The sequence below is a fragment of the Homo sapiens genome, chromosome 5 (genome assembly GCF_000001405.40).
Source record: "Homo sapiens chromosome 5, GRCh38.p14 Primary Assembly".
In the NCBI taxonomy this organism is placed as follows: domain Eukaryota; kingdom Metazoa; phylum Chordata; class Mammalia; order Primates; family Hominidae; genus Homo; species Homo sapiens.
The window spans coordinates 142,674,276-142,699,616 of NC_000005.10; the positions used below are offsets into that span (position 1 = coordinate 142,674,276).

General features: G+C 46.4%; 1 protein-coding gene across 24 annotated transcripts in view, besides 7 other annotated features; it reads right to left on the minus strand.

Annotated features, from left to right (window-relative positions):
• Window positions 1–23,795, minus strand: part of FGF1 (fibroblast growth factor 1) — a 105,893-nt gene extending 82,098 nt beyond the window's left edge. For 3 of the 24 annotated variants that reach the window (NM_001354964.2, NM_001354958.2, NM_001144934.2), the window contains exons 1-2: window positions 23,638–23,746; window positions 23,347–23,440 (exon numbers count right to left, since the gene is read on the minus strand). The gene's annotated coding sequence lies outside the window, so the exon portion shown is untranslated. Of the gene's footprint in view, window positions 1–9,420; window positions 9,540–11,223; window positions 11,429–11,681; window positions 11,816–12,160; window positions 12,221–17,224; window positions 17,355–23,346 lie in introns of those variants that run through there. The other 21 variants (NM_033137.4, NM_001354962.2, NM_001144935.2 and 18 more) reach the window with 15 other exon arrangements.
• Window positions 10,289–11,158: an enhancer, noted in NCBI's record as "NANOG-H3K27ac hESC enhancer chr5:142064129-142064998 (GRCh37/hg19 assembly coordinates)". NCBI's record gives its function as "activates a minimal SCP1, AML or CMV promoter by ChIP-STARR-seq in naive H9 embryonic stem cells {active_cell/tissue: H9 hESC(naive)}" and the evidence as "EXISTENCE:reporter gene assay evidence [ECO:0000049][PMID:30033119]".
• Window positions 11,761–12,331: a promoter, noted in NCBI's record as "-540 to +31 promoter". NCBI's record gives its function as "drives expression in the brain" and the evidence as "EXISTENCE:transgenic organism evidence [ECO:0001131][PMID:11175337]".
• Window positions 11,761–12,624: a promoter, noted in NCBI's record as "-891 to +31 NcoI/DraIII promoter". NCBI's record gives the evidence for it as "EXISTENCE:reporter gene assay evidence [ECO:0000049][PMID:7713933]".
• Window positions 12,258–12,275: a protein binding site, noted in NCBI's record as "-484 to -467". NCBI's record gives the evidence for it as "EXISTENCE:protein binding evidence [ECO:0000024][PMID:20189986, PMID:22415835]".
• Window positions 12,258–12,283: an enhancer, noted in NCBI's record as "RR-2; -492 to -467". NCBI's record gives the evidence for it as "EXISTENCE:reporter gene assay evidence [ECO:0000049][PMID:9054460]".
• Window positions 12,258–12,283: a protein binding site, noted in NCBI's record as "-492 to -467". NCBI's record gives the evidence for it as "EXISTENCE:protein binding evidence [ECO:0000024][PMID:9668116]".
• Window positions 24,918–24,967: a silencer, noted in NCBI's record as "silent region_16473". NCBI's record gives its function as "represses an Ori minimal core promoter by ATAC-STARR-seq in GM12878 lymphoblastoid cells {active_cell/tissue: GM12878}" and the evidence as "EXISTENCE:reporter gene assay evidence [ECO:0000049][PMID:35858748]".

Below are 25,341 nucleotides of genomic sequence, written 5' to 3' on the forward strand. Positions count from 1 at the left end.
CACTCCTCTGCCCCATCAGAATGTCAGTGGCTCAAGAGCATGGATCGTATCTGCTCTTGTGTTGTTCTACCTCTGGGGAGGGCCCACCTGGGGTAGGTGCTCCCTAAATATGAAAGGAAGGGAGGCAGGGAGGGAGAAAGTCCCTGGAGAGGGGGACACCTTTCCAAGGCAGCCCCATTTCCTGTGAATGTAGGTGGTATCCCTGCTCAACCCTAGTGTTACTGTGCAAGTTAAAAATAAAACCCTTGGGTAGAGTGAGAAGCCTTTAAAGAGGCTGGGGGAGAGATAATGAGAAACATGAGCCAGCCAACGCAGGTCCAGCAGGATGTGGGACCGGCCAGGAAGCAATGGGATCTTGGCTCCGGAAAAACACTGACTTTGGGGCTGCAATAGTCTGACCAATGCACGACTCCCGATTAGTCACCAGAAGCCTCTCTCTGGATCTGCAGTGTATGAAAAGACTTTAAAGTGGCCAATTCAGGATATGCTTCCATCCTAGAGCAAGACGTGGTTAGAGGTTTCTAAAGAGATATTCTTTATAATTCTTAGAACAAGGGACTCCACACCCCTCCTCTGCCTGCCACGGGTCAGAATAAGAGGGAGAGGCCTGGAGGGAACGAGAAGCCATAAGGCCTTCCTTGGCTCACCCTCCCTCTGACCTCCCCTAGGGCCCATCCAGCGTGGGAGCCGAACCTCCCACCACAGTAGGGCTGCAGCCAGGGATCCCAAGGTGAAGCCGCCCTCCAAAGGCTTGGCTTGGTTCAGGGGCGGCGTGAGGTGGGGAGGGTCAGGTCAATGGGTCGTTAGAAACAACCCGGCCATCGCCTTGGAAACGCTCCCCCCTGCGCCGCATGCATCTGGATCCACCCTGAACCAGCTGTGTATTAAACCCTCAGACCTCAGTGGGAGGTGGGGAAGCCTTAGGGAGGGTCATAGTGGGACAGGAAGAGGTCCACCTTCTGTACAGGAGAAAATCTTCAGGCCTTAATGAGAGGCCTAACGACCCAGGGGAGCAGCAAGTGAAAATCCATATTCTGGCCTCCCTTGGTGAAAGGATGGGCTGAGGGGAGTGTGGGGGCTGCCAGCATCCCCTCCTCCAGACTGCGACCTGGACCCCTTCCCAGAATCCATCTCTCTGTGCTGGTGCGGAAGCCAAGTGATGTGCTCATGGTCACCTGGTGCAAGGGAATATTCTCAGACCTCGAAAACATTGATCACCACTGGGTTTTTCCATATCCACAGCTATGAGGCAGTCAGGAGGACCACAAAAGAAGGGGAAGAGAATTAGCAAGAATCAAGAGAGACAGCTATGCTGAGAGCTTTACATGCCACCTTGAATTTAACCTCCACCACCGTCCGTCCGCTGAGACAGGAGCTCTTACAGATAAGGCAACTAAAATGTAAACAGGACCTGTTCCCCACCCAAGGTCACCCAACAAGGGAGGGTGGAGCATCGGGCAGCCAAAATGCAAAATGGCTGTGCAATTTACCACCTATAATAGCCTGTCCTTTTATCTCTGCAGTCACTGTCCAAATGATTTGAACTCAAAGCTCAGTGCCAGGGGACATTGAGCAGAATTTTCAAAACGTACATATATTGAGGAACTGAACACCCCCTGGCTGGTTGGGAACCCCAAAGCCTTTTTGTGCATTGAGCGAAAGGGATCTATTGAAGTCAACTCTTCTTTAATCATTTTTTGGGAACATCTACAGCTTAAAACTTCGGAACAAGTAGCCTGTGTCTGCCCTGGGCGTAACCTCTTTAAGGAGGCTATTTCTTTCTCGGCTAGTTCTAGGCTCCTGACATGAGGATTTCAAGTGCTTAAAAGGCACAGGATAATAATCTTCCCCTGGAAGAAAAAAGGCCGACAAAGGAACAGCAGGGAAACAGGTGACCTGCATGTCCTAGTACCATTTTTTGAATTCAAGTACATTCTCATGAAGACTTCCAAAAAACCTTTGCCAGAAAATTTGCCAGCCGCAACAATCATTCATATCTTATTGAGCAAATACTAGGTGCTGTGCATTGCGTGCTAAAACATTTTAGGCACTCTACGTGGATTCTCTCCCTACATTCTTACACCAATCCTATGAGATAGGAACAAGTTACACTGATGCAGTGCTGGCATGTAGTATAGACTTTAGATATATTAACTCACATCTTCCTGTCAACAACCCTAGGACAGAACCGCTGCTATTATCTCTATTTTATGGAATCAAAGAGGTTGTGTAACTTGACCAGGGTCACGCAGCTATTGAACGTCAGATCCAGAATTCACACCCAGACAGTCCCATTCCAGGGTTCATGCTTTGACCAACATGCTACCCTACCAGAGTGCCACAGGCTGTGGCTCTGAAATAGGGAAAGGTTAATGAGAGATGGGTCAGAACTGTCAGAAGTATTCCTGTCTTCTTCTGTGTGAGCTAGCTTTCCAAGGAGCTTAGGGCTCTGCTTCACATGCCTTCAGCTAAGACATCCCAGGACCAGCCTGGGAGAATGGCAGTGAGCTTTGTGTGGCCAACTGAGTGAAGATTTCATCCTTGGAAATAACTCTCAATTGAAAGAAACCATTCTGAAGTCACCCTGCATCTCTGCCATTTAGAAAGATCCCCATTTTTACTTCAAAACAAAAACAAAAAACAAAACAACAACAACAACAACAACAAATCAAGGCTCAAGGAGGAATGTTTTACTCCTATAACTTAAATACCACCTTATCACCAAAGGCAATGCAGCCAACTGCAAAAAGCCTGGACTGGCCCGGGCAGCAGCTCTCTTCTCCTCTGGGCTGCGAACTTGCTCTGCGTAGACTCCAGGGAGCGACTCTGGAGCATTCATTCTCAACTTTCCTTTAGTTGCTGTTTCTTAATTCTGATAGATATTCTGACGAAGGATAAGAAGAGTCTCATTTTCTAGAAGCTCTTTATGTCCTTAAAGGTATTGGTTCAGCACTTTGCACACATTGATTAATCAATGCAAACTGCTTCCACTATTCCCATCAGACTGATGGGGAAGGCAGAGATGAGCTACATTGTCTGTCTCCATGGGTGCAAGGGCTGGAACATGCTGGATCCATGTCTCCCTTCTGGGTGCCTGACATCACTTGTTTGTCTTTGATGCCCATCAGCCAAAAGAAGTTATTCATCTCTAAGCATGAATAATACCACTAGGGTGGATTTTTCCAGGCTTCCGAAGTGAGTTCTCTGCAGAGATGACACTAAGCCGACTAAGCCAGAGCAGCTGACACATAGCATAGGGTCCTGGGAACTGCAAGAGGCCAGCCCACCTGAGTTAGGGTGAGAGGCTCTTGATGCAAAAGTCTCAGCTTTACTTTCCAGGCCCCTTTCCAGAGCTATAAGGGACAACAGAGGGTAGAAGGTCCCATTGCTGTCCTGAGTCTTGGCTTTAACACTCCCAACATTTAGTGATTCACTCAGTCATTCATTAGACTGATATTTGAGCACCTACCCTGTGGCACGGCTCTGTCCTATTCACTGGGGATATAGCAGGGAGCAAAACAGACAAGGTCTTATTCCTGCCTTCATAAGGCTTACATTCTAAGGGAGAGAATGGGTAATAGAAAGTTTTTTTAAAAATTGACAAGAAAATTACGAATTGAGGTAAGCGGCATGAAGGAAAAATAAGTCAGAGGGGAGAAACAGGGAAAACTTTTGGAGGAACTGACAAGAGAGGCAGGGCCTGAAGGATGGAAAGAGGCCTGCTACCTGAAGAACTGGGGGGAAAGCATCCCAGGCAGATGAAACAGCAGTTGCAAAGTCTGAGAGTCAGGAAAGGGCCTAGAACAGCAGAGGAGCAGACAGGAGGCCAGGGCTGGATGGGTTGGTGTGATGTCGGATGGGTAAGAGTCAGATGGATCTTACCCCCCAAGAGGCCTCCTGTCTACTTTCTCACCTTCCTGAAAATCACCACTCTCCCTTACAGTATGCTTCAGGAACTCATCATTGCTAAGCCAAATCCAGTCCCTCTGCTCAAACTGAAGAGAAGGGAATTATTTTTGTGGCAGACGGGGTATGTGGTAAAGGCATGGCATTCGGTTTTATATGCAGACTTTTTACATACGGATCATGCCAACAACAGCTGAGAAGCTCCCCAGTGATGGATGTGTTTGCCTCGGAATGGAGTCATTCAGGCACCTGCAAGGCTGCAAACACCAACCTGGGACTCTCCCTCACCCGCAGCACCCACCTTGCTGCTTCTTGGTGACATCATGAAAAAGGCAAATTGGGCTTCGGGTACTCTGCACTCCTCCTTTCAGCGCCCTCTGCCCCTTTCCAGGCTTGTCTCCACCCATTCTCTCCCCCAGTGCTCTCATGGGCTCTGCCTGGACTAATCTCTGCCATTCGCCACAGTCCCTGATGAATAAATCACCTTCTGAATGCACGCCTGCTCCTGCAACTTCAGGCAAAGTACAGGCAGGCAAAAGAGAGGCTAGATTTATAAGACCTTTCTGTGTCCTTCAAATGATGCCAAAGAAGGGGCTGCCTAGTCCACTGCAGTCTGAGCCTGGCCCGGCTGCCTAGCTTACTAATTAGCTGTACTGACAGGAGAGTCCCTATTCAGACCCTTCCCAGTGGAGCCATTGCAAATTCCTAGAGCATACTCTGTTGAGGAAGGACTATGGCTAAAACACTTTGAGGAGTGGCCTGGAACTTCACTCCCTAATGGCCAGGCACCCAACCTTGGGTGTGTGAGCTCAGAAAGCCTGACGTCTCTCTCCAGGGCTGACCCACTGCTAAAACTTGCCATCTGCCCTTCTAGCCCATCGTTCCCTTCGTTGAAATGAGAGACTGCCCTACATAGGATCACTTTCTCCCCTGGCTTTCTAGGGCTCACAGCTTAAGGAACTAAATCCTCAGTATGGCCGCACAGTCTGACCCCGCCTGCTTCTTGGGTTCTGGCTCTCCCCTTCATCCCTGCACTCAGCCACACTGGCCTTCCTCCCGCTCCTTGGTGATGCCAGGCTTCCTCACACCAGGCAACCTTTGTGCATGCTCCTCTCCCTGCCACCTGAAATATTCTGCCCTCACCAGTTGAAATCTGCTGATCCGTCAGACCTCAACCCAAGCCTCACCTCCTCATGGAAGCTTTCCAGGACCCCCTGTTGGGGTCAAGTTCCCCTGCCATGTGGTTTTTCAGGACCACTCGGTAGAATTGCTGCTTGATTGATGTCTATACCCCCATCTAGCCTCTAACTTTCATGAAGGTGGGGGCTCTTGTCCTCAGGCACTGCTGTAGCCCAGTGTCTCACATGCCCTCTGGCACACAGGAGGCATCCATGCTGAGCTGAATGAACCTGACATGGCCCTCAGTAGGCCCATCCCAATCCCCTCTCCCTTTCCTCTTTTCCTCCAGCCTCCCTTCTCTTATTTACATTTGCTTCCTTCCTCCCTCTTCACTCTTTCTGTTCATTCCTTCTTCCCTCTTGGGCCTTGGGCCTACTTGTTGCTCCCAATTTGCCAAACCTTTGCAGCATGTGTAGGCCTTCAACCAGATCACCCCAGAGCCATGGCCTAGCGGGGGAACCTAGGAATCTGGCTTTCTACGGGGTTAGTCTGTTATGGTTGCCATAACAAGCACCATAGGCTGGGTGGCTGAAACAACAGAAACAAGAAACTTATTCTCTTACAGTGTTGAAGGCTGGAAGTCCAAGATCAAGGTGTCAGCAGGGTTGGTTCCTTCTGAGGCTATGAAAGAAGGACTTGTTCCAAGCCTCTCTCCTTGGCTAGTAGATGGCCATCTTCTTCCTATGTCCACTCACTTTGTCTTCTCTCTATGCATGACACCAGTTATAGTGGAGTAGGACCCACCCTAATGATTTCATTGTAACTTGATTATCTCTGTAAAGACCCTATCTCCAAAATAAGGTTGCATTCTCGGGCAATAGGGGATAGGGGGTGAATTTCATCTTATGAATTTGGGGGTGGACACAACTCAACCCTAACACCTACCACCACATGTCCATTGCCACAACTGTCTTCGACTCATTGAATGAAATAAAAATAAGGAAACACCAGACACGTCTTCTGAAGAAAGGACACAGGAGTCTGGGAATGGGATGGGCATGACAGGAATGGCAACTGGAGAAAGACACCCCACTGAAGAATGAGAAAGGAGCGTGGTACTGACAGGAGCTAAAACTACTCTCATTGAATGGCCTAGCAGTTAGTTACACATCTAGGCTCTGGTAAGCTGCTAGTTCTGAGTTCAAATCCCCACTCAGTCACTTACTACCAGTGAGGTTTTTCCCTTGCTCATAAAATGTGGGTAAAATAGTAATACCTCACTTATGGGATTGTTGTGAAGATTAAATGAGAGACTAGCCCAAGCATAGGGCTTCACAGTGTACCCAGCACATAATAACTCAATATGTACCAAATGTGCTGTTATTGTTATCATAATAGGGGTGGTCTCACCAGGTATTTCAGGAAGAAGTGATGACAAAGAAGAGGGTAATTGCCATGACTGAGTCCACACAACTCTGTGTTCCCTCTCATAGTCACAACGAGAAAGGAAGCCGAGCAACAGCCAGACCTGATCTTCTTTAATTGTGCTCTGTGGACCAAAGGCAACAGAATTACCTAGGCCCCACCCAGAAAATGCAGAATCCTGGGTCCCTTATGAAGCCACCGAATCAAAATTGTGGGGAGCAACCAGGAACCTGATTTTTAAACAAGTTCCCCTGTGATTCTTATGCACATTAAAATTTGAAAACCCCTGGACAAAGCCACAGTTCCTGGAGGAGCAGAGATGAGTCATGTCCATGAGTAATACCCCATGTTGACACAGCCCTGGTGCAAGGTAGGCACGCCCCTCACACCTGTTCTCATCACCAACATTCCTTGGACAAGGTCAGGAGACGGTCTTGAGCAATTTGGTATAAAACAAATCTCTGTAAGTCACATTTTAAATATAATATTTAGAGGGATTGCATTGGCAAATCAAATTGTTTTCATTATTGTAAATTGTACTGTGCTCAGATACTTACCCAATCTTGACTTCAAATTTAGCTCAACATGACCTCTGGCCTTAGGCTTGAGGATTGTAAGGCCCCCTGGCCCAGCACGCTTGCTGTGCTTGGGGCTCTGTTGTTAGCACTCTGTTTATTTTGTTCTTGGGCACCGTCCACTACCTGGTCAGAAAAACCTTAGCCCCACTGTTCCCCAGTGCCTGTGTTCATGTCTTGCCCCAAAGACCCAATCCCAGAGGCTATGGGTCCTCAAGGTTGAGATTCTACCTATGGCCCAAGCTAAGGTCCTGCCATCTCTTAGCAGAATTTCCAAATCCTGGCCTACTTTCTAGGGTCTTCCAATATCATCTGGTGCTGAATTCCTATCACCAAGCTCCATGTGCCTCTCAGGACACCTCTCATAATCCCCCCAAACCATATACAGCCTATCAGTGAGGAGCACAGGCTCGCTGGACAGCCTAGGTATGAAGCTTGGCTCTGCCACTTGGTGGCTGTGTGACCTTAGCCAAACACCCCACCCAACAAGCCTCAATTCCTGCATCTATAACAGCCCCTACTATTATATGCAGCGTTGTCATGAGTATTGAGTGAGGTGATACACTTACAGCCAAGCACAGTGCTTGGGCACAGCAAGGGCTCAATAAATGTTGGGGACCGGTCCAAAAGCTGTTCCATGTCTGAGTGCGCGTACATGTGAACAAAGCTCCATGCCAAAGCAAATGTGTCTCCAAGCTACCCTAGCAGTGGCACCAGGGGTCACTTATAGAGTGTCACTTTGGGCTTTGGAACAAATGGACTTGTAAGCAGCCTTTTCTCCTCTATTTTTTTTTTTTTTTTTGAGACAGAGTTTCACTTTTGTCACCCAGGCTGGAGCGCAATGGCGCGATCTCGGCTCGCTGCAAACTCTGCCTCCCAGGTTCAAGTGATTCTCCTGCCTCAGCCTCCCAAGTAGATGGGATTACTGGTGTGTGCCATTATGCCAGGTAATTTTGTATTTTTAGTAGACATGGGGTTTCACCGTGTTGGCCAGGCTGGTCTTGAACTCCTGACCTCAGGTGATCCACCCGCCTTGGCCTCCCAAAGTGCTGGGATTACAGGCATGAGCCATCGCACCTGGCCAAAGCAGCCTTTTTAGAATTCACCTTTGAATAATAATAATAATAATAGCAAATACATGGTACTCACTATGAGCTAGACCCTGTGCTGATAAGGGCATTACTCATTTGATTCCTTCCATAACAAGGCTGGTACTTTATTACCCCCACTTTACAGATGAGGAAACCAAGGGCCAAAGTCACAGGACTAATAAGTGGCAGAATTTGGATCCCAGGCAGCCCAGCTACAGAATCTATGTACTTAGCTAATGTGTTATGCTCCCTCTCGTAAGTAGTATAATTTAATTATTAAAAAGGAAAGGGGAAAACAACGAAAAAGTTAAAGACAGAGAAATGTTTTAAGCAGTTAGCATTGGCACCAGGATTCTTGCAAGTGAACTCAAGAAGCTCACTTCTGGCTGGGTTTAAACCATGGTGTATTTAATAATCAAAATAATTGCTATTCCTTCCCTCCCCTTTTCTCTCCCTGTAGGCCACTGGCCCAGATGCTTGTTCTTGTTCCTGTACCTTGGACTCCTTTGCTTATCTTTCCGCTGAGTTGGACACGCTAGCCCAGGCCCATTCTCTGTTACCTGCCCACCCAATCAGTCCCCTTCCTTCTCTGTGGTTGTTTGGGCTGGATCCAGTCATATCTCAAGATGGGGACGCCTTGCTGGTACTTGAACATTTGTTGATTAGTGAACCCTTTCTTCAGAAAAAGTACTCTCACCCACATGTATAGATGTTAGATTTACCTAAAGCATGGTATGCCTGTGGCACAAACAACTTCAGATTATTTTTCCAGCAACCTAAATCAAGGGATACTGCATTAGCCATGCACTGCTTATTTAATGAGGTGGAAATGGGTGTGTCCACTCTGCACAATACCTAACCCCTGGGAGCTAGCATACAGGCTGACAGTGTCAGAGGCGTTCGAACCAGAGCAACTCCATCTTGAGTGAGGGCTGGGAAAATGAGGCTGGGACCTGCTGGGCTGCATTCCCAGAAAATTAGGCATTCCTAGACTCCAGATATTTATGGTTAAGGGAATAGATTGATAATGTTTACTACACAGACTCAGACTTGGGAGTCTCCAGGTAGCCCGATATTTTGAGAACAAATGCATTCCTAATTTTGCTTTAAAGATAATATGGATTCTTGCAAAATATAGTAATTAAGAAAATTAGGCCAGGTGCAGTGGCTCACACCTGTAATCCTAGCACTTTGGGAGGCCGGTTGGATCACCTGACATTGGGAGTTAGAGACCAGCCTTAGCAACATGGAGAAACCCCGTCTCTAATAAAAATACAAAATTAGCCGGGCATGGTGCCGCACACCTGTAATCCCAGCTACTTGGGAGGCTGAGGCAGGAGAATTGCTTGAACCCGGGAGGCGGAGGTTGCAGTGAGCCGAGATTGTGCCATTGCATTCCAGCCTGAGCAACAAGAGTGAAACTCTGTCTCAAAAAAAAAAAAAAAAAAAAAAGGAAAAGAAAATTAATCCTTTATCCTTTATCACAAACCCTTGTAGCAGAGCACATCTCCCCATGATCTTTTTAAAATCCTATATATACGAGCATGGTACCTAGGATGGATGTGTTCCTCCTCTTACTTTTGGGAACACCCTACTCTGTCAGTGGAGCAGCTGTGCTTTCACCACTTTACTTTCTTAATAAAAAGAAAGTGCTTTTGCTTTGCACTGCGGACTCGCCCTGACTTCTTTCTTGCTTGAGATCCAAGAACCCTCTCTTGGGGTCTGGATCTCTTTCCTGTAACAGCAGTCCCAAGATCCTAATAGTTTATGTGTAGTTCACAGAATGCATGTCACCTAAGTGAGTGGCTGCACTGTCCCAAGATGAGATGTCCCTTCAATGTAGATACGGCATATGGATGTCCGCCCACCATCTCCACTGAATGTTATCATCATGGCTGGTGCTACTCACCTGTAAAGTCAAACCACTTAACCAGATATGGCTTCCTTGATCCTTTGCAGAACTAGTCAAGTCATATGTAAACAGCAGATTTGAGAGAGAATTTAAAAGAAACTCATTGTGTTTTCTCTTAAAGTTTTGCATACTAAGTTTGCTTTGGATTACATACTTCATTTGCAAACCCATTTATTCACACTAACAAAGGCAGGGGCAACAGAAGAAAGTCTCTCTGAGTCCCTCTGCCAACAGCAAATTGTTGATCTTGCCTTCAGATCAACATCTCAAGAGGGGACTTTCCTCGGAAGCCCTCAAAGACCAACACAAAGAAAACAAAGGAAAAGGGAATTTGCGACTGTGAATCAGAGTCTCCACCAAAATCCTCAGTCATCCACACTGACAAACAGCTCCAGTAAACTGCTGGCCACCCTTCACTAGACATCACTTCCCAAAGCGAGGCCCACTCCTTTCAGCCCTGATGCCACTGCTGCTGGCTCACTGTTACACAGAGCTGGTGGAGGGGCAGCCTGGCTCGCCCTCAGCCGGGATGCTCAAGTCCTCCCACTGGGTCGGGGAGCTAACTCGTAAACAATCGCATCCCTGTAGAGAATGAAAGGAAAAGTGCCAGTCACCAGTGCAGAAAGGAGGGAGGCAAGCGGGGGTGGTGGGGTGGTGGGTGGATGTAACATAGCTAGAGAATAATGGAGTGTTTGAATTCTGCTGAGGCAGAGTGAGCCCTTGGGCCTCCCTTGGGTCTCTGAAAAGTGCGTACTTGATTAAATGCCTGAAATTTCCATCTCAGTATCTGGAGGGCTGCATTTCTGAAGTGCTCCTCTGCAGCAGCCTTGCATACCTTTGGCATGTAATTGTGATGTGGGTGTGGATAGTGTATGTGCCAGAGACTCTGTCCATTCTGACTCCTTCTTTCCTAGTGCCCATCGGAGGGGTACTGAAACGAGGATGTGATATTCCAAGATCAGAAAGGAAGGAAAGAAGTAATCCGAGTGACCATGGGGCCATGGGAATACCACCCTACCAAAACCCTGAGCTGACACACCCAGATAATCCTAAACTTCAGCCTGACTTCTATATCAAAAGGTTAATAAAATCTAAGCTGCCCACCATGTGGACAGCTTTTCCAAGGCAGCTGAATATCCAGGCTTCCCAAGAGAGAGCTAGTGTGACACAGCACGATAATGCTAGCCACACTCACCACAGCCAGACTCACCGCAGCTTTCTGCTTCTGCCGAACCTCAAGGGCTGCATCCAGCACTTTAGTAAATGAGAAATGCCTGCCCCCTCCAGCCCTGATTCAGGGCCAGTGTCAGGCGGGCACTGGAGGAATGGAGATAATGTGGCGGCATGGTGCATTCATATTTTTGCAGTCTCTAAACTAGAAGTACTATTTTTACATGTCTGTGACATCAGCATGCCCTTCCCCCAGAGCAGTCTGCACCATGGTTTAAACCCAGCCAAAGGTGAGCTTCTTGAGATTCACTTGCAGGAGTCCTGGTTCCAGTGCTATCTGCTTGAAACATTTTCTTTCTTCTCCAAGTAGCATTACATTTGCACTTGGACACACACACAAAACACACACACACACACACACACACACACACAACCTCAGCTATAACCTGCTCTGTTTCCCAGATCAGATGCCCTGATTCTTACCTAAAGAGCTTGTAGGCCGAGGGCTGTACCTCTCTCCACACTCGCTCAGTGCTGTCCCAGGGGAAGCAGAATCCACTTGGTGTCTTCTTCTCAGAGTAGCCCGGCTCTCTGAACCTCCAGGCTACTGCAGCTCTGAGTGGGGAGAGGGACGGGCCGTGGCATGCACATCAGGTTGCTGGCCTGCCTCCAGATACCATGCCACAGAGCTGGCTACCCGTCCCTAGGGCTCTGTGGGAAATCGAGGTGGGGGGGGTGTAGGCTGGGGGAGCCAAGAATGTCAGCCTCTAGGTCTATCTCCGGTCCTTGTTTATCAGTAGAGGGGACCTGCCTTTAGACAACCGCCCACTCCCACACCACCCGCAGGGATGCACACAGCTCTAAGCAACCCCTACTCTGGACAGCCAGCAGCAGGCCCAGGAACACAGAGCCATTGGCCAGCCAGGAGGGAGGTAGAGACAGAAGACGGTGGCAGCAGCTACCCTGGGTGTTATTTTAACGTGGTTTGTCTTGGGGCAAATGTGTGAGCCGAATGGACTTCTGGCCCGTCTGAGCAGAATCCTGTTTATTTTGAGGCCTGAGTTGCCAGGGAAACAGCAGGTCGTGGCTCGGAGACTCTCCTCTGGAGTCAGAAGGCTGCTGGATGAAAGGGAGGCCTTTTCTGTTCTGTCATCTGGCATCCCTGCATGGGGTGTAGGTGTCTGTGTGTGGCAACGTGTATGTGTGCGTGTGTGTGTCTGTCTGTGCCATCCCCAGAGCCAAGCCCTACAAATGGCATTTTACGAAGTCAATCGAGGCAAAAGCCATCCAGGTTGGGACTGGCGAGGGGCTGCAGAGGTGGCAGCTCTGTCCTCCCTCTCCACTGTTCAAGCCTGTCCCCGTTGGATGAGGTGAATCCTCAGGTGAGCTCAACTTCAGGGGTGGGAAATTCTTCAATGGGCCATGGACATCCTCTTTAGACTTCTGGCCAGGACAGGGTAAGGAAGGGAGGGAGCTGTCTGGACAAATAACTCTTTGGCTAGAAGGTGGGGAATAAGGTGGACTGAAAGGATATGGATCAAGAGCTGTCTTTGAAGAAACCAAATGAAAACATGATTAATAGTTTCCAATAATTGAAGAGTCGCTCCTGCTTATGCAGGCGTTTGAGCCCAGAAGGCATGAGTGTGTGTGTGTGTGTGTGTGCACGCATGCACTCCCATGTATGTACACAAGCCTGCTCACCTGATGATTCAGGTAGAGAGGTACAGATCGACCTGTCAGAACTAGAAATATGCTCTCCAGTCTCTACCTCCTCTGGGTAGTTGCTTAGGTGTAGAGAGGATGGAGTTGCAGTTTGTTCCCCACACTCCCCACAGAGCATGGGGGTGTGGGGAAGCCATCCATGTGCCTTCTGAAGGGATGAGCCTTGGAGAAGGAGCTCGTGTCCTGTACTAAAGAGCTAGAGGCTCAATCATCACAGAACTCCAATCACGGATAAGCAGCAGCTCCCAAAAGGGACTTGAATATACAGAAAATGTTGATTTCTTGAGACCCTATTAATTGGAACCCTCATGAACTACCACTTCTACACCTGCAAAGGATACTGATAATTTGCTTTAAAACATAATAATCTTCCTGAGTATCTGCAAGTTTCCAAAGGGCCTTCTGAATCCTTAAAGAAAATATTTTGGACAATGGTTTTCCAAGTATTAAAGAATCATTATGCTAGATGTAGTATGCATGTTAACCCTTTTTAACTACGTGAAATGATAGACTTGAAAGTTAGAAAATACCCTAAAAATCCTAAGGACAGAGATGCAGACTCAGAGACTCACTCAGGTGGTACCCTTAGTTAAAGTCCTCATTGTGACTAAAACCAGGTCTCCCTGCTTTAGGTTAACCCCGTGTTAACCTGCCTGCACTGTGTGGTTGGCCATTGTTGGGCAATTCAGCCCAAGGGCTCCAGATTCCCCCCCTCCTAGTGGAAATTAATGAGACTTTCCTACTCATATCTTCCCTGCAAACTCACAGGATTATCATGACAATCAAATGTGTCCAAGTGTGTTCGAGCACCTTGAACGCAGGGAATGCAAATGCAAGTCATTATTTTATTTTATTTCTCCATTATGTCCAGTTGTGAAACCCTGTTTAAACACACACACTCACACACACATACACACACAGCTTTTAGGCAAATATAATCCCTAGCTACTGACATATGCTAATTTATCTACTGCATATTGGGTGTTTGGCAATATTACTGTCCAAATACTGGGAAATAATCCTCAGTTAAGGTATTTACTGTAATATAATTCCCGCCAATGTGGAAATTTTTTAAAATTTCATTATAATATCCTTCAATTTCTACATTTATTTGAACTTCTGTTACTATCTAGATTTACCTTTTAAATAACATATATTGAGATTTTTCCCAGTCTGGAGACATGATCATGTGAATGCTTTTCAGCCCCACTGTTATTTAGAGTAGGAAGGGACTTTGCAATGACCTAGTCGAAAAGTCTGGTCTCAGAATAGCCCTCCAGCTCTGTGCCTGGAAATAGTCAGTGGAAATAATAGCCGTCGAAGCTGCTTATTAAGCATCCACAATATGCTAGATCGTATGCAGAACATGTAACAGAAATCATGTCTTCCTCCAAAGCTCTTACACCACTTTAAAAGCCATTTCTGCCCTGATAAAACCTTGTAGGAGAGGCTGCTAGTACTGCAGAGGGGTCCCTGGAGAAAGGAAGAAAATTACAGGTTTGGAGGACCAAAAAAAATTCTAGTAGGTTTATCCACAGAGACGTGGGCTTGCCCCGGAGTCATCCACATCTAAAATGTTGTGGCTCTTGCCAGAGGTGAGATTTTTCCTTTCGCATCCTAACAGATGGACTCAATGCAGAGCACTTAGGCAGCTGCTATTACAGAAAGTGGCTCTACACCTCTCCTAAGAGCTTTAGAAGGGCAACAAAGGTAGAATGTGGTGGTTCTGTGGTTTTACTTATTTTGTGCTCAGTGTCTCTGAAAATCAGACATATAACTATCACATTTTAACTGTACCAGCATGAAAGAAGCAGAGCATTATTGAATCAACAGGGTTCAAAATGCCCCCAATATATACATTTTTTTTCTCTCCAGGCAGAACATAAGCCCTGGTGTCTTGTCCTTGATTCTTGAGAATGACATTCAATATTTGCCTTAAAAATTCCCCTTCATTCATCCTGTTTACACAAATGATACAGTTATGTGAAACACACACCAGACACATTGCATTTTCTTTCTAATCTCATTTGACCGTGTTCAGGCACAACAAATCTTAATCAGCTGACGGGAGAAATTGGATGCTGCATGCCACTCTCTCCCTCCAGCAACACATTTCCCTCTGTTTATGCCCAATGAGGCAGTTAGATGAAGGGTGTCCTGGTCTCATGGTGAAGCAAGCGCCACGATGACAGAGGGCAATGGGAAATGCAGCAGACATTCATGGGAAATTGTATTCGTTGCTCAAGGAGACCAGCCAGCCACAAACATCACCAGAACTGCAGGACAGAAGCTGAGTCCAATGACCCTCAAGAAGGAAGGTGCCTCACCCTGATCCCACTGAAATCCAATCATATGCGCTTGCCCGCCGCTGGTTAGCCTGATTCTTCAGCAACTTCAGGGGAGGATGCTTGGGAAGGGTCCTACCCATGAGAGCTGGGTTTCCTCTCCTCTAATATTGATTGTCTGTCGCCTATTCTACTGTGTTTTCCTCGATCCTAGTTTTTTTTTTTTTTTTTTTTCTGAGACAAGAGTCTCGCTCTGTCGCCCAGGCTGGAGTGGAGTGGCGCGATCTCGGCTCATGGAAGCTCCGCCTCCCGAGTTCACGCCATTCTCCTGCCTCAGCCTCCGGAGTAGCTGGGACTACAGGCGCCCGCTACCACGCCTGGCCAGTTTTTTGTATTTTGTTCAGTAGAGACAGGGTTTCACCGTGTTAGCCAGAATGGTCTCGATCTCCTGATCTCGTGATCTGCCCACCTCGGCCTCCCAAAGTGCTGGGATTACAGGCGTGAGCCACCGCGCCCGGCCCCTCAATCCTAGTTTTTTAATTTTAAAATATTTTACCTTGGCCGGGCACGGTGGCTCACGCCTGTAATCCCAGCACTTTGGGAGGCTGAGGCGGGCGGATCAAGAGGTCAGGAGATCGAGACCATCCTGGCTAACACGGTGAAACCCCGTCTCTACTAAAAATACAAAAAATTAGCCGGGCGTGGTGGCGGGCGCCTGTAGTCCCAGCTACTCGGGAGGCTGAGGCAGGAGAATGGCGTGAACCCGGTGAACCCGGCGAACCCGGGAGGCGGAGCTTGCAGTGAGCCGAGATCGCGCCACTGCGCTCCAGCCTGGGTGACAGAGTGAGACTCCGTCTGGGGAAAAAATAAAAAATAAAAAAAAATTTTACCTTTACTTAAAACGAACACTCTGTGCACATGATAACACTGCACTAAGAGGTATAAAACGACACTCATTAACCCTCTTTTCTCCAAAGATAACCACTATTCACTTTGAATGTATGGATCCTTTCAGGAAAGAAAACTGTCTTTGTACCCTGAATATGTGTATGCTAAAAACACACATTACTGTGCACAATGTCCTGCGTAATTGTTTGTTTTTCACTTAATAATAGATGTTTGCACATTGGTCTAGTTCATCCAAGCACCAAATTTCTTGCCTGGAGTATTGGGGTATCTTCCTAATTGGCCTCCCTGCTCTACCCTAACCCTCTACAGTTCATTTCAGAAGGAACCTGCTAAAAGGTAAATCAGACCATGTACGTATTTGTTCAGACCTGTCCAGGGCCTTTCCCTTGCACTAGGAACAAAAGCCAAGCTCACTACCACCACCTGCCTCTGCAAGTTCTCCCCCAACATACTCATTGCTCACCGTGCTCCAGTCACCTGCTCCTCATAACGGGCCAGGCTTGGTCCTAGCTCAGGGCCTTTGTACTTCCCATTCCCTCTGCCCAGAATTATGCATTTATTTTCTGCCTCTAGGTTATTTGCCTGGCTGGCTCTTTCCTGTTATTCTTGTCTCAGCTCAGGCCACCTGCAGCCTGACCACCCGTTCTAAATCAGCCCCTTATCACTGTCTTTTTACATCTCCCACTTTCTTTTTCCTCATACTACTTACTACTTTCTCAAAATTATTGTATTCATAAAATGTTTACTTAGGCTGGGCGTGGTGGCTCATGCCTATAATCCCAGCACTTTGGGAGGCCGACGCGGGTGGATCACCTGAGGTTAGGAGTTCGAGACTAGCCTGGCCAACATGGTGAAACCCCGTCTCTACTAAAAATTACAAAAATTAGCCAGGCATGTTGGCTGGCGTCTGTAACCCCAGCTACTCAGGAGGCTGAGGCAGGAGAATCACTTGAACCCGGGAGGTGGAGGTTGCAGTGAGCCGAGATAGTGTCACTGCACTCCAGCCTGGGTGATAGAGTGAGACTCTGTCTCAAATAAAATAAAATAAAATAAAATAAAATAAAATAAAATAAAATAAAATAAAATAAAATAAATAAAATATTTACTTACTTGTTCTGTCTCCCCTACCACATACACTGGAATACAAATTCCACAAGGAGAGCAGGACTTTGTCTTCTCACTGTTATATACTCAGTACCGAGACCAGTGGTTCTCAAGCTCGAGTGTGCACTGGAATCACCTGGAGGATTTGTTAAAACACAGATTGCTGGGCTCCAACCTCAGAGTTTCTAATTCAGTAGATCTGGGGTGGGCCTACTGAAATAGAGTTTATATTTCTAATAAGTTTCTAACTGCTGCTACTGCTCCTGGTCCAGGGACTGCATTTTGAGAGCTACCAGTCTTGACGATGCCTGGCATATAGTGGGTGTTGCATATACATTTATTACATGAATGCATGAGCCTGCACATAGGATCTGCCACCTTCTTTGTAATGGCAGTTTTGTTTTCAGTTTATCATTTATTTATATTTATGGGACTATAGGCTGTGAACCTTGCCTCCTCAAAGTCTTTGTGACAGGAAGGCCCCAAGTTTTGTCAGCTAAAATTGTGCACTATCTCCATTGATTTGTCAATTGATGATTAAAAACCTAAAGTTTAGGCCAGGTGCAGTAGCTCATGCCTGTAATCCCAGCACTTTGAGAGGCTGAAGCAGGCAGATTGCTTGAGTCCAGGAGTTCAAGACCAGCCTGGGCAACATGATGAAACCCCTTCTCTACCAAAAAAAACCCCACAAAAATTAGCTGGGTGTGGTGGCATGTGCCTGTGGTCACAGCTACTTGGGAGGCTGAGGTGAGAGGATTGCTTGAGCCCAGAAGGCGCAGGTTGCAGTGAGCTGAGATCACGCCACTGCACTCCAGCCTGGATGACAGAGAAAGACCCTGTCTCAAAAAGAATAGCAGCAACAACAAACTAAAGCTTTATAGACCCAAGAGGAACCATTGAGAGACTTCTCATTCTTTGCCTCAGCAGAACATCAAACCAAAAGATGGTGCAACTCTCACTTGACATGTGACAGAGAACAGAGTGATCTCTCAGGCCTCCCCTGTAATGATTTAACAACTATCCTGTTGGTTTAGATTGGGTCTTGGTATATTGGAGTGTATGCAACATAACCCCAAGCAGGTTATGAAATATAGAAAGCCTACTGGTTTTCCTGAGTCACAAAACCTCTTGAAAATCTTGACAAGATCTATAGCTCTATTCCCCAGGACACACACACACACACGCACACACGCACACACACACACACACGCACAGACACACACACACACACAGTTTTACATTTAATTTCAGGAAGTTACAAGATGCCCCAGGCACACTTTAACCCCAAATTAAGAACTTCTGGTTTAATAATTGTCTAGCTATTTGGCAAAAACAAACAAACAAACAAACAAACAAACAAACAAACCCAATCTGGATCCCCAGTTTCTTATTTAAATTCCTGATGAATCCGAGGTTTAAGTGTAAAGAGACAAGCCTTAGAGGAAAACATTAGTTAATAAGATTTATAATCTTAGAATGGGAAACACTTTTGGAAGCATGATTTAAAACCCAGAAGTGAAAATAAAGTAGTGAGACTGATTCTAAAAAATCTAAAATGTCTGTCCAGGAAAGAGGAAAAAAACTCTCCTGGTTTAGACTCTAAGGAGAAATTAATTGATCCTATCTTTTCCATCTATCTTCTTCTCAGTGGAATTGTGTGAGTGACCTATGGCCAGGCTCTATGGGACAAGACAAGCTTCTCAGAGCTTACAGGGTGAGATCACATCCTTTGGCAAAGCCCTGTCGCGGGGTTAATTATTTCAATAGCAGTGGTTTGGGTTTTTTAAATTATTTATTTTTATTTTTTTATTTTTTGAGACAGAGTCTCACTCTGTCGCCCAGGCTGGAGTGCAGTGGAGTGATCTTGGCTCACTGCAACCTCCACCTCCCAGGATTCAAGCTATTCTCCTGCCTCAGCCTCCCGAGTAGCTGGGATTACAGGCGTGCGCCACCACACCCGGCTAATTTTTGTATTTTTAGTAGAGACAGGGTTTCACCATATTGGCCAGGCTGGTTTGGGTTTTTAAATGACTTTATTGAGATATACTTCACATACTCTGAAGTTCACCCATTTAAAATGTACAATTAAGTGGTTTTGGTATATTTACAAAGTTGTGCGGCCATCACAACTATAATTTTAGAATATTTTTGTCACCCCCCAAAGAAACCCCATATCCATTAGCAGTTCATTCCCCATTCCTCCCTCCTGCCAGGCCTAAGCAACCACTCATCTACTTTCTGTCTCTATAGATTTTCCTGTTCTGGCCGTTTCATATAAATGGAATCAAACAACATGAGCATTTTTCCTTTAGTGTGATGTCCTCAAGGTTCTTCTGTATTGGAGAACATATCAACATTTCTTTCCTTTTTATTGCTGAATAATATTTCATTGCATGGATACACCACATTTTATTTCTCTGTTCATCAGCTGATGAACATTTGGGGTGTTTCTTCTGTTTGGCTATTATTATACTGTTGTTATTCATGGGCAAGTTTTTGTGTGAACATGTGTTCATTTCTCTTGGGTCTAGCAGTGTTTTTTTTTTCTCTTAAAGATTTACCCGAAGAATTTATCTATATCTCTATCTATCTATAATCTATCTATCTATCTATCTATCTATCTATCTATCTATCTATCTATCTATGTCTATCTGCCTCTCTGTATATATGTATTCCCCCCCACCCTGCCCACCATCATAACCTCATGGAGAACCAAGCAGATTTGGGTTCTAAAGACCTCAGATCTCTTACATTCCTGGCCTGGGACCTTCTGTGCAAAGGTCACGACTCACTCTCACTATGCCTCAGTTGTGCTATCAATGGAAGGAAGGTGAGAACACCAGCTCTTTCACACTGCCACAGGATATTGTAAAGATAAAGAAAATGACGTAAATCAATAGGATCTGCTCTTTCCAAGATATGAAGCCATATGAATAGGCCAGTGTGCATCAAAGAAACAAGATACACTTGAACCAAAAGTTTTGCCAGCACAAAGATGACTGCATCAGCCGAGTCCAGTGGCTTGATGTGGGGGCACAGATGGTACAAGAAATCACCATCTCAAGATTTTGGTGTTCTTTGAGATCAGAATTTGGTTGCCTTCCAAATCCTGCCAAACACCCTGAGGGAGGACCCCAGCTTGGTCACCCTGGTGGCGGGTAGGAGAAAGGGCAGGGCCATAATGTACTGACCGGCAGCCCAAGGGGCAAGCTTAAATTCTAAAGCCTACCCTCTAGCCAACATTTCCCGCAAAGACCACCCTACCCCCGTTTAATTAAAAAGCACCCTACTCTCTGCAGAGTCCCAGAGACACCTCTTTTTGTGAAATCCCTGACATTCCTGTAGGCTCTGGGGCAGGGGAGTGACCCCTCACCCCTGGGTAGAATCTAATAAGAACTTCCCAGTAGAGGTACTGGGCACCCAGGTGGCAGAAGAGGGGTCTAAAATACATGTACTTCTTCCTGCTCTCTGACCCATCACCTGTGCCCTTTGCTCTTTAAACTCAGGCAGCAGGAAATTCTACTGATAGGTGTGTAAATGATTAGTGGAATAGGAAATGAGAAGGTGGCATCCTGGGTTATAGTCTGCACATCACCACTTACTAGATGTATAATTTAGGATAAGTAACTCATTTCTTTGAGACTTGGTTTACCCATCTGCTAAATGGGATAATAGCAGTACTTGCCTCGTAGGGTCATTGTGAGGATTACCTGAGATGATGCCTGTAGGGACTCCAGCATACCATCTGTGTTTGCTATAGTTATTATATTACTTCTAAAGTCAGAATTAAAGACCTCAAGGCTGGGCGCAGTGGCTTATGCCTGTAATCCCAGCACTTTGGGAAGCCGAGGTGGGGGTGGATCACCTGAGGTCAGGAGGTCAGTTCGAGACCAGCCTGGCCAACATGGCAAAATCCTGTCTCTACTAAAAATACAAAAATTAGCTGGGTGTGGTGGTGGATGCCTGTAATCCCAGCTACTTAGGAGGCTGAGGCAAAAGAATCGCTTGAACCTGGGAGGCGGAGGTTGCAGTGAGCCAAGATCTCACCATTGCACTCCAACCTGGGTGACAGAGCAAGACTCTGTATCAAAAAGAAAAAAAAAAAAAGAAAGAAAAAGAAAAAAGAATTAACGACCCCAAGTAATCCATCCATTCTCCCTAATCTATTTAGGAAGACTCATTTTCTATTGGTCAATTAACTGGATGCACTTAATCAAGCACCTAGTATCTATTAGCTACCACAGAGAGGGCTTGGGAATGAAACTTAATTTTCCCGCAAGAATGGAGAATTCAAGCTGTGAGAGAAACTAAGATACATGAAGTTCTTAAAGAACATATAAACAGTAAACTGCAATCCTGACAGTCAATGCCATTCTGATTCAGAGAGGGGAGACAGCAGGAAAGTCTGGAAGGGCCAGATAAGGCCTCAGAGGGGAGACAGCACCAAGGTGGGCCCTCACAAGTCAAGATGAGTTCACAGCAGAAGAGGAGAGGGAGACAGAACTGGGCAAGGGTGGGTGAGGGAGAAGGGAGACCCATGTGAGCATGGGCAATTTGGGAGCCCAGGTGGGTCTGGGCCTGGTGCATGGTCTGGGAGCTAAGCCACAGACAAGCATCCTGCTGTCTTTCCTACTCTCAAGGATCTCTAGGAATAACATGCCATGGAGTCTTTTAGTCACCTTTTCCACTAATAATTATCCTTCCTATGAGAACTTCTGTCACTAATACATTTTTATGGCATGTAAGAGGGAGGAGCTGCTATCAGATGAGCTTTGAGTCAATCTAGACCATTGCAAAAAAGCAACATAGAGTGGCAACCATTGACTTCGGCCACCCTGCATCTAGCCCCCTTTGTCCTGGGATGAGAACTCTGATCATTTCTGGGGAAACACCCCTTCATTGCTTTCAGTCCATGCAGTTTTGGGGATGGGAATGACTCCATGCCCATGGCAAGGATGGGTACAGTACCCACATTCGTTCTATGAGATTGACCCTGAGATTCTAGCTAGAACTAGAAAGGGAAGCACCTGTTCTTGTACGGTGCTGTGCTAGTAGGATGTCAGCTGGGAGGTGCTGCAGCCATGTGGCCTTCACAATGGGCAGGTCTTCCTGGAAACAGAAGGACGCAGGGGAGGCAAAGCCAAGATATGGAAAGACAGCTTCATGATGCCATCATCTAGGCCCCTGGATCTCATGATACCAAAACCTTGCTTTTTCAGGCACATGAGTTAATAAAAAAATCCTCTTTTTGCCTAAATCTCTTCAAACTGGGTTTCAGTCCATGGTTACTAAATGAATCCTGACTTATTCAAGTAATGACCTTGTTCCTACCAGAATTTTGTTGGTTGCTTCTTAGCATGGGTATTTGTAGTCCATAGCCCAGGGGCAGACTACATCCAGGATAACAGTTTGTGTGTGGAAGTGATAGTGGCGTCTATCCATATCCCTAAATGGATATAGGTACATGTTCTATGAGGAGGCATTATAGGGGAGACCGAGGCTGCAAAATCTGTTTCTCCTCTTTGTCTCTGAAGTCTGTGTACAGAGCAATTTTCCCCAAACCCCTGATTTTATTCCTCTTGTTTTCAACCAGAGAAAGGAACTCTTGAATCTGTTAAGTATGTTTTGCAGGGCTCTAAGAAATCAGGAAGAGATGGGGAAGGGAGGTGATGGGGAAAAAGAGGCTCTGCATGTCTCATTTTTGTTTTTTCCTTTTTGCCAACGACAAAGAATCAGCTGGCATCCTTTTATTTTCTATTTCATTCAGTGCTTTTTAAAATGAAGCATTAAGTCTACTGTAATGGGATTTGTCTAATGATTTCCTGGTAAACGTCTTCTTGGATCTCAGCAAAGATAATTCACTTAGTAGGAACCATTTCCTGCTTCCCCACTAAGAACCAGACCTACCCAGTTCTTTCTGGGAGTGAATTGGCCTTTGAATGAGAGAAGGCAGTACAGGAATATTTCACTCTAGCATTCATCACATAGACTCAAGCTTGCCACAGACCCAGATCAGGGAGGAGAACAGGAAGGCGGGGGTGAGGGAGAACGTTCACGCTGAGCACAACATGAAGCCAAGCAGAAAGTCTGTAGCAATCTGAGCCCTTTGCAGAAACAGATGCACTCACCTCTTTGCCTTGGCTCTGGGGTGCTTTCTTTCTGGGGCAGTGACAGCTTCTGCAATGTCCACACTGTTCTACCAGGACAGCTGCAGGCAGGCTGCTGCAGGAGGAAGGGAGTTCCCATTCACCATCAGAAGGGAGTGTCCTCCCAGAAAAGGAGGCGATGCCCTGATTCCCCTGGAGCGAAGGCTGTTGGATCCACTTGTCCTCTCTCTCCTGCTCCCTTTCTGGTATGAATGGAGCTCAGAGAAACCCCATGAGAAGAACTGAGTGAAACCACACACCATACCCACCCACCTGTTAGTAGGTTGGCCTCCTAGCCTTGGGGATCCTGGAGAGGAAGGCTGCCGAGTGGGTCATGAGGCACTTGGGCCCCTACAAGTGCAGCTGACACTGGTATGCCCACAGAAAGGCTAAGGACAAGCACTGTATATTTATTTCTCCCCCTCTCATGTGATCTTATTTTTGGACTGGACACAAAAGCTATTTGGGGGCTGGACAGCTGCCAGGTGAAAGGACAATGATCTCATCCGAATTCTCTCCATGCCTCTCTCTGCACTAGTCCCTGTTACCTTTCCCAATATGAGGCAGAAGGGAGCGGGTTTTGCTCTGAGCCTTACTTTCAGTACATCCAAGCAATGTGTCCAACTTATCATTTTTCTTCAATTAGCTGATTGCTACCTTTTGAGGTTTCACAGAGGATCAACGTAATGAACGAAGTCCTTACTTTTATGTCTGAGGCAGGTGAGTATTTCTGAGTCTGGTGGTCGTGTCACACAGTCATCATACACACTATTTTAGATGCAAAGATCCTCTTTTCAACACCAGGATGGGAGCCCCGACCCTGAAAGGCAGATGTGGGCAACGCCACAGAGCTAGGCTCTCAATGTGTTGATTCTGCCTTCTGCCCTGGCTGTTTCTGCCTCTGGCTCCTAGGCTTGTAAAACTTACAACATTGAGACAGTTTGATTTTTCACCTCTGATCCTTCCTCTTCAGACATGAATGGAAAGTTTTGAAAATGTCATGCCTGGCAAGATGCCAATTCAATATCGTCCTCTTCACCATTATCACTGTTATTTACTGGGCTCTTTCTTGCTGAATGCCCTTCATTTGAGGAGTACTTCTGCATTCTTGTATTTAATCCTCACAACACCGCTGCCAGGAGGGTAAGATTGCTCCTATTTGATATCCAGGGAAGCTGAGGTTTGGAAAGGCTCCTCACCTAAGCTTTGGAGAGGGTAGAGTGGGATGGGAACTCCCGACTGTCTGAGCTCTTGGCCACTTTGCCCTACCGTCTCCTGAAGATGTGAATCGTTGACATTTCACTGTTGTTTTCACTTCATAAGAGGGAAAACAAAACCCTTAGGGTTGATTCAGACCCACAACTTCAATCCTTGATTTCTGTTCCAAATCCAGTTATTGAAGGGGAGAGAAAATAAGGTTTTCACCTGTTTACAGTCCCAGGCCCTGGTTCTAGGTACAGGATGGAGTCTCTGGCCACCATTCTCGTTGGAGCCATTTTCCTGTGAATAATTCGTTGTGCAAACACACACACCAGAGAGGACTGGGCTGGGCCGCCCAGGCCGGGTTCCCACTGTATCCAAGCTGGACTGCACTTTCCACTACCCTGAGAAAGAGACAGAGAGATTGAACCAACAGCTTGTCCAACACTGCCCTCTGCAGGTCACTGGGCTGCATTACCCCAGATGGGAGTCTGCAAGGCTTTCCAAAGAGGAGGGCCACACCAAGGATTATTTTTAGACAATCAGTTAGTTCTCCATTTCTGCAGCTACTCTTTCCTAAACCTGGTTTGCCTGAGCACGTGTCTGTGTTCATAACCCTTCCCCTACTGTATGAAAGGAAATCATACCTGTCAGTCTTCACAAATCTTAATAAGGTGCCATTGCCCCAAGTATAAAAATATCAAAGTCCCCAAACTAGGAACTTCCTTTAATACTTTAATTCAGTCTTTTTTAATGATTAATTAGGCATTTTTTAAT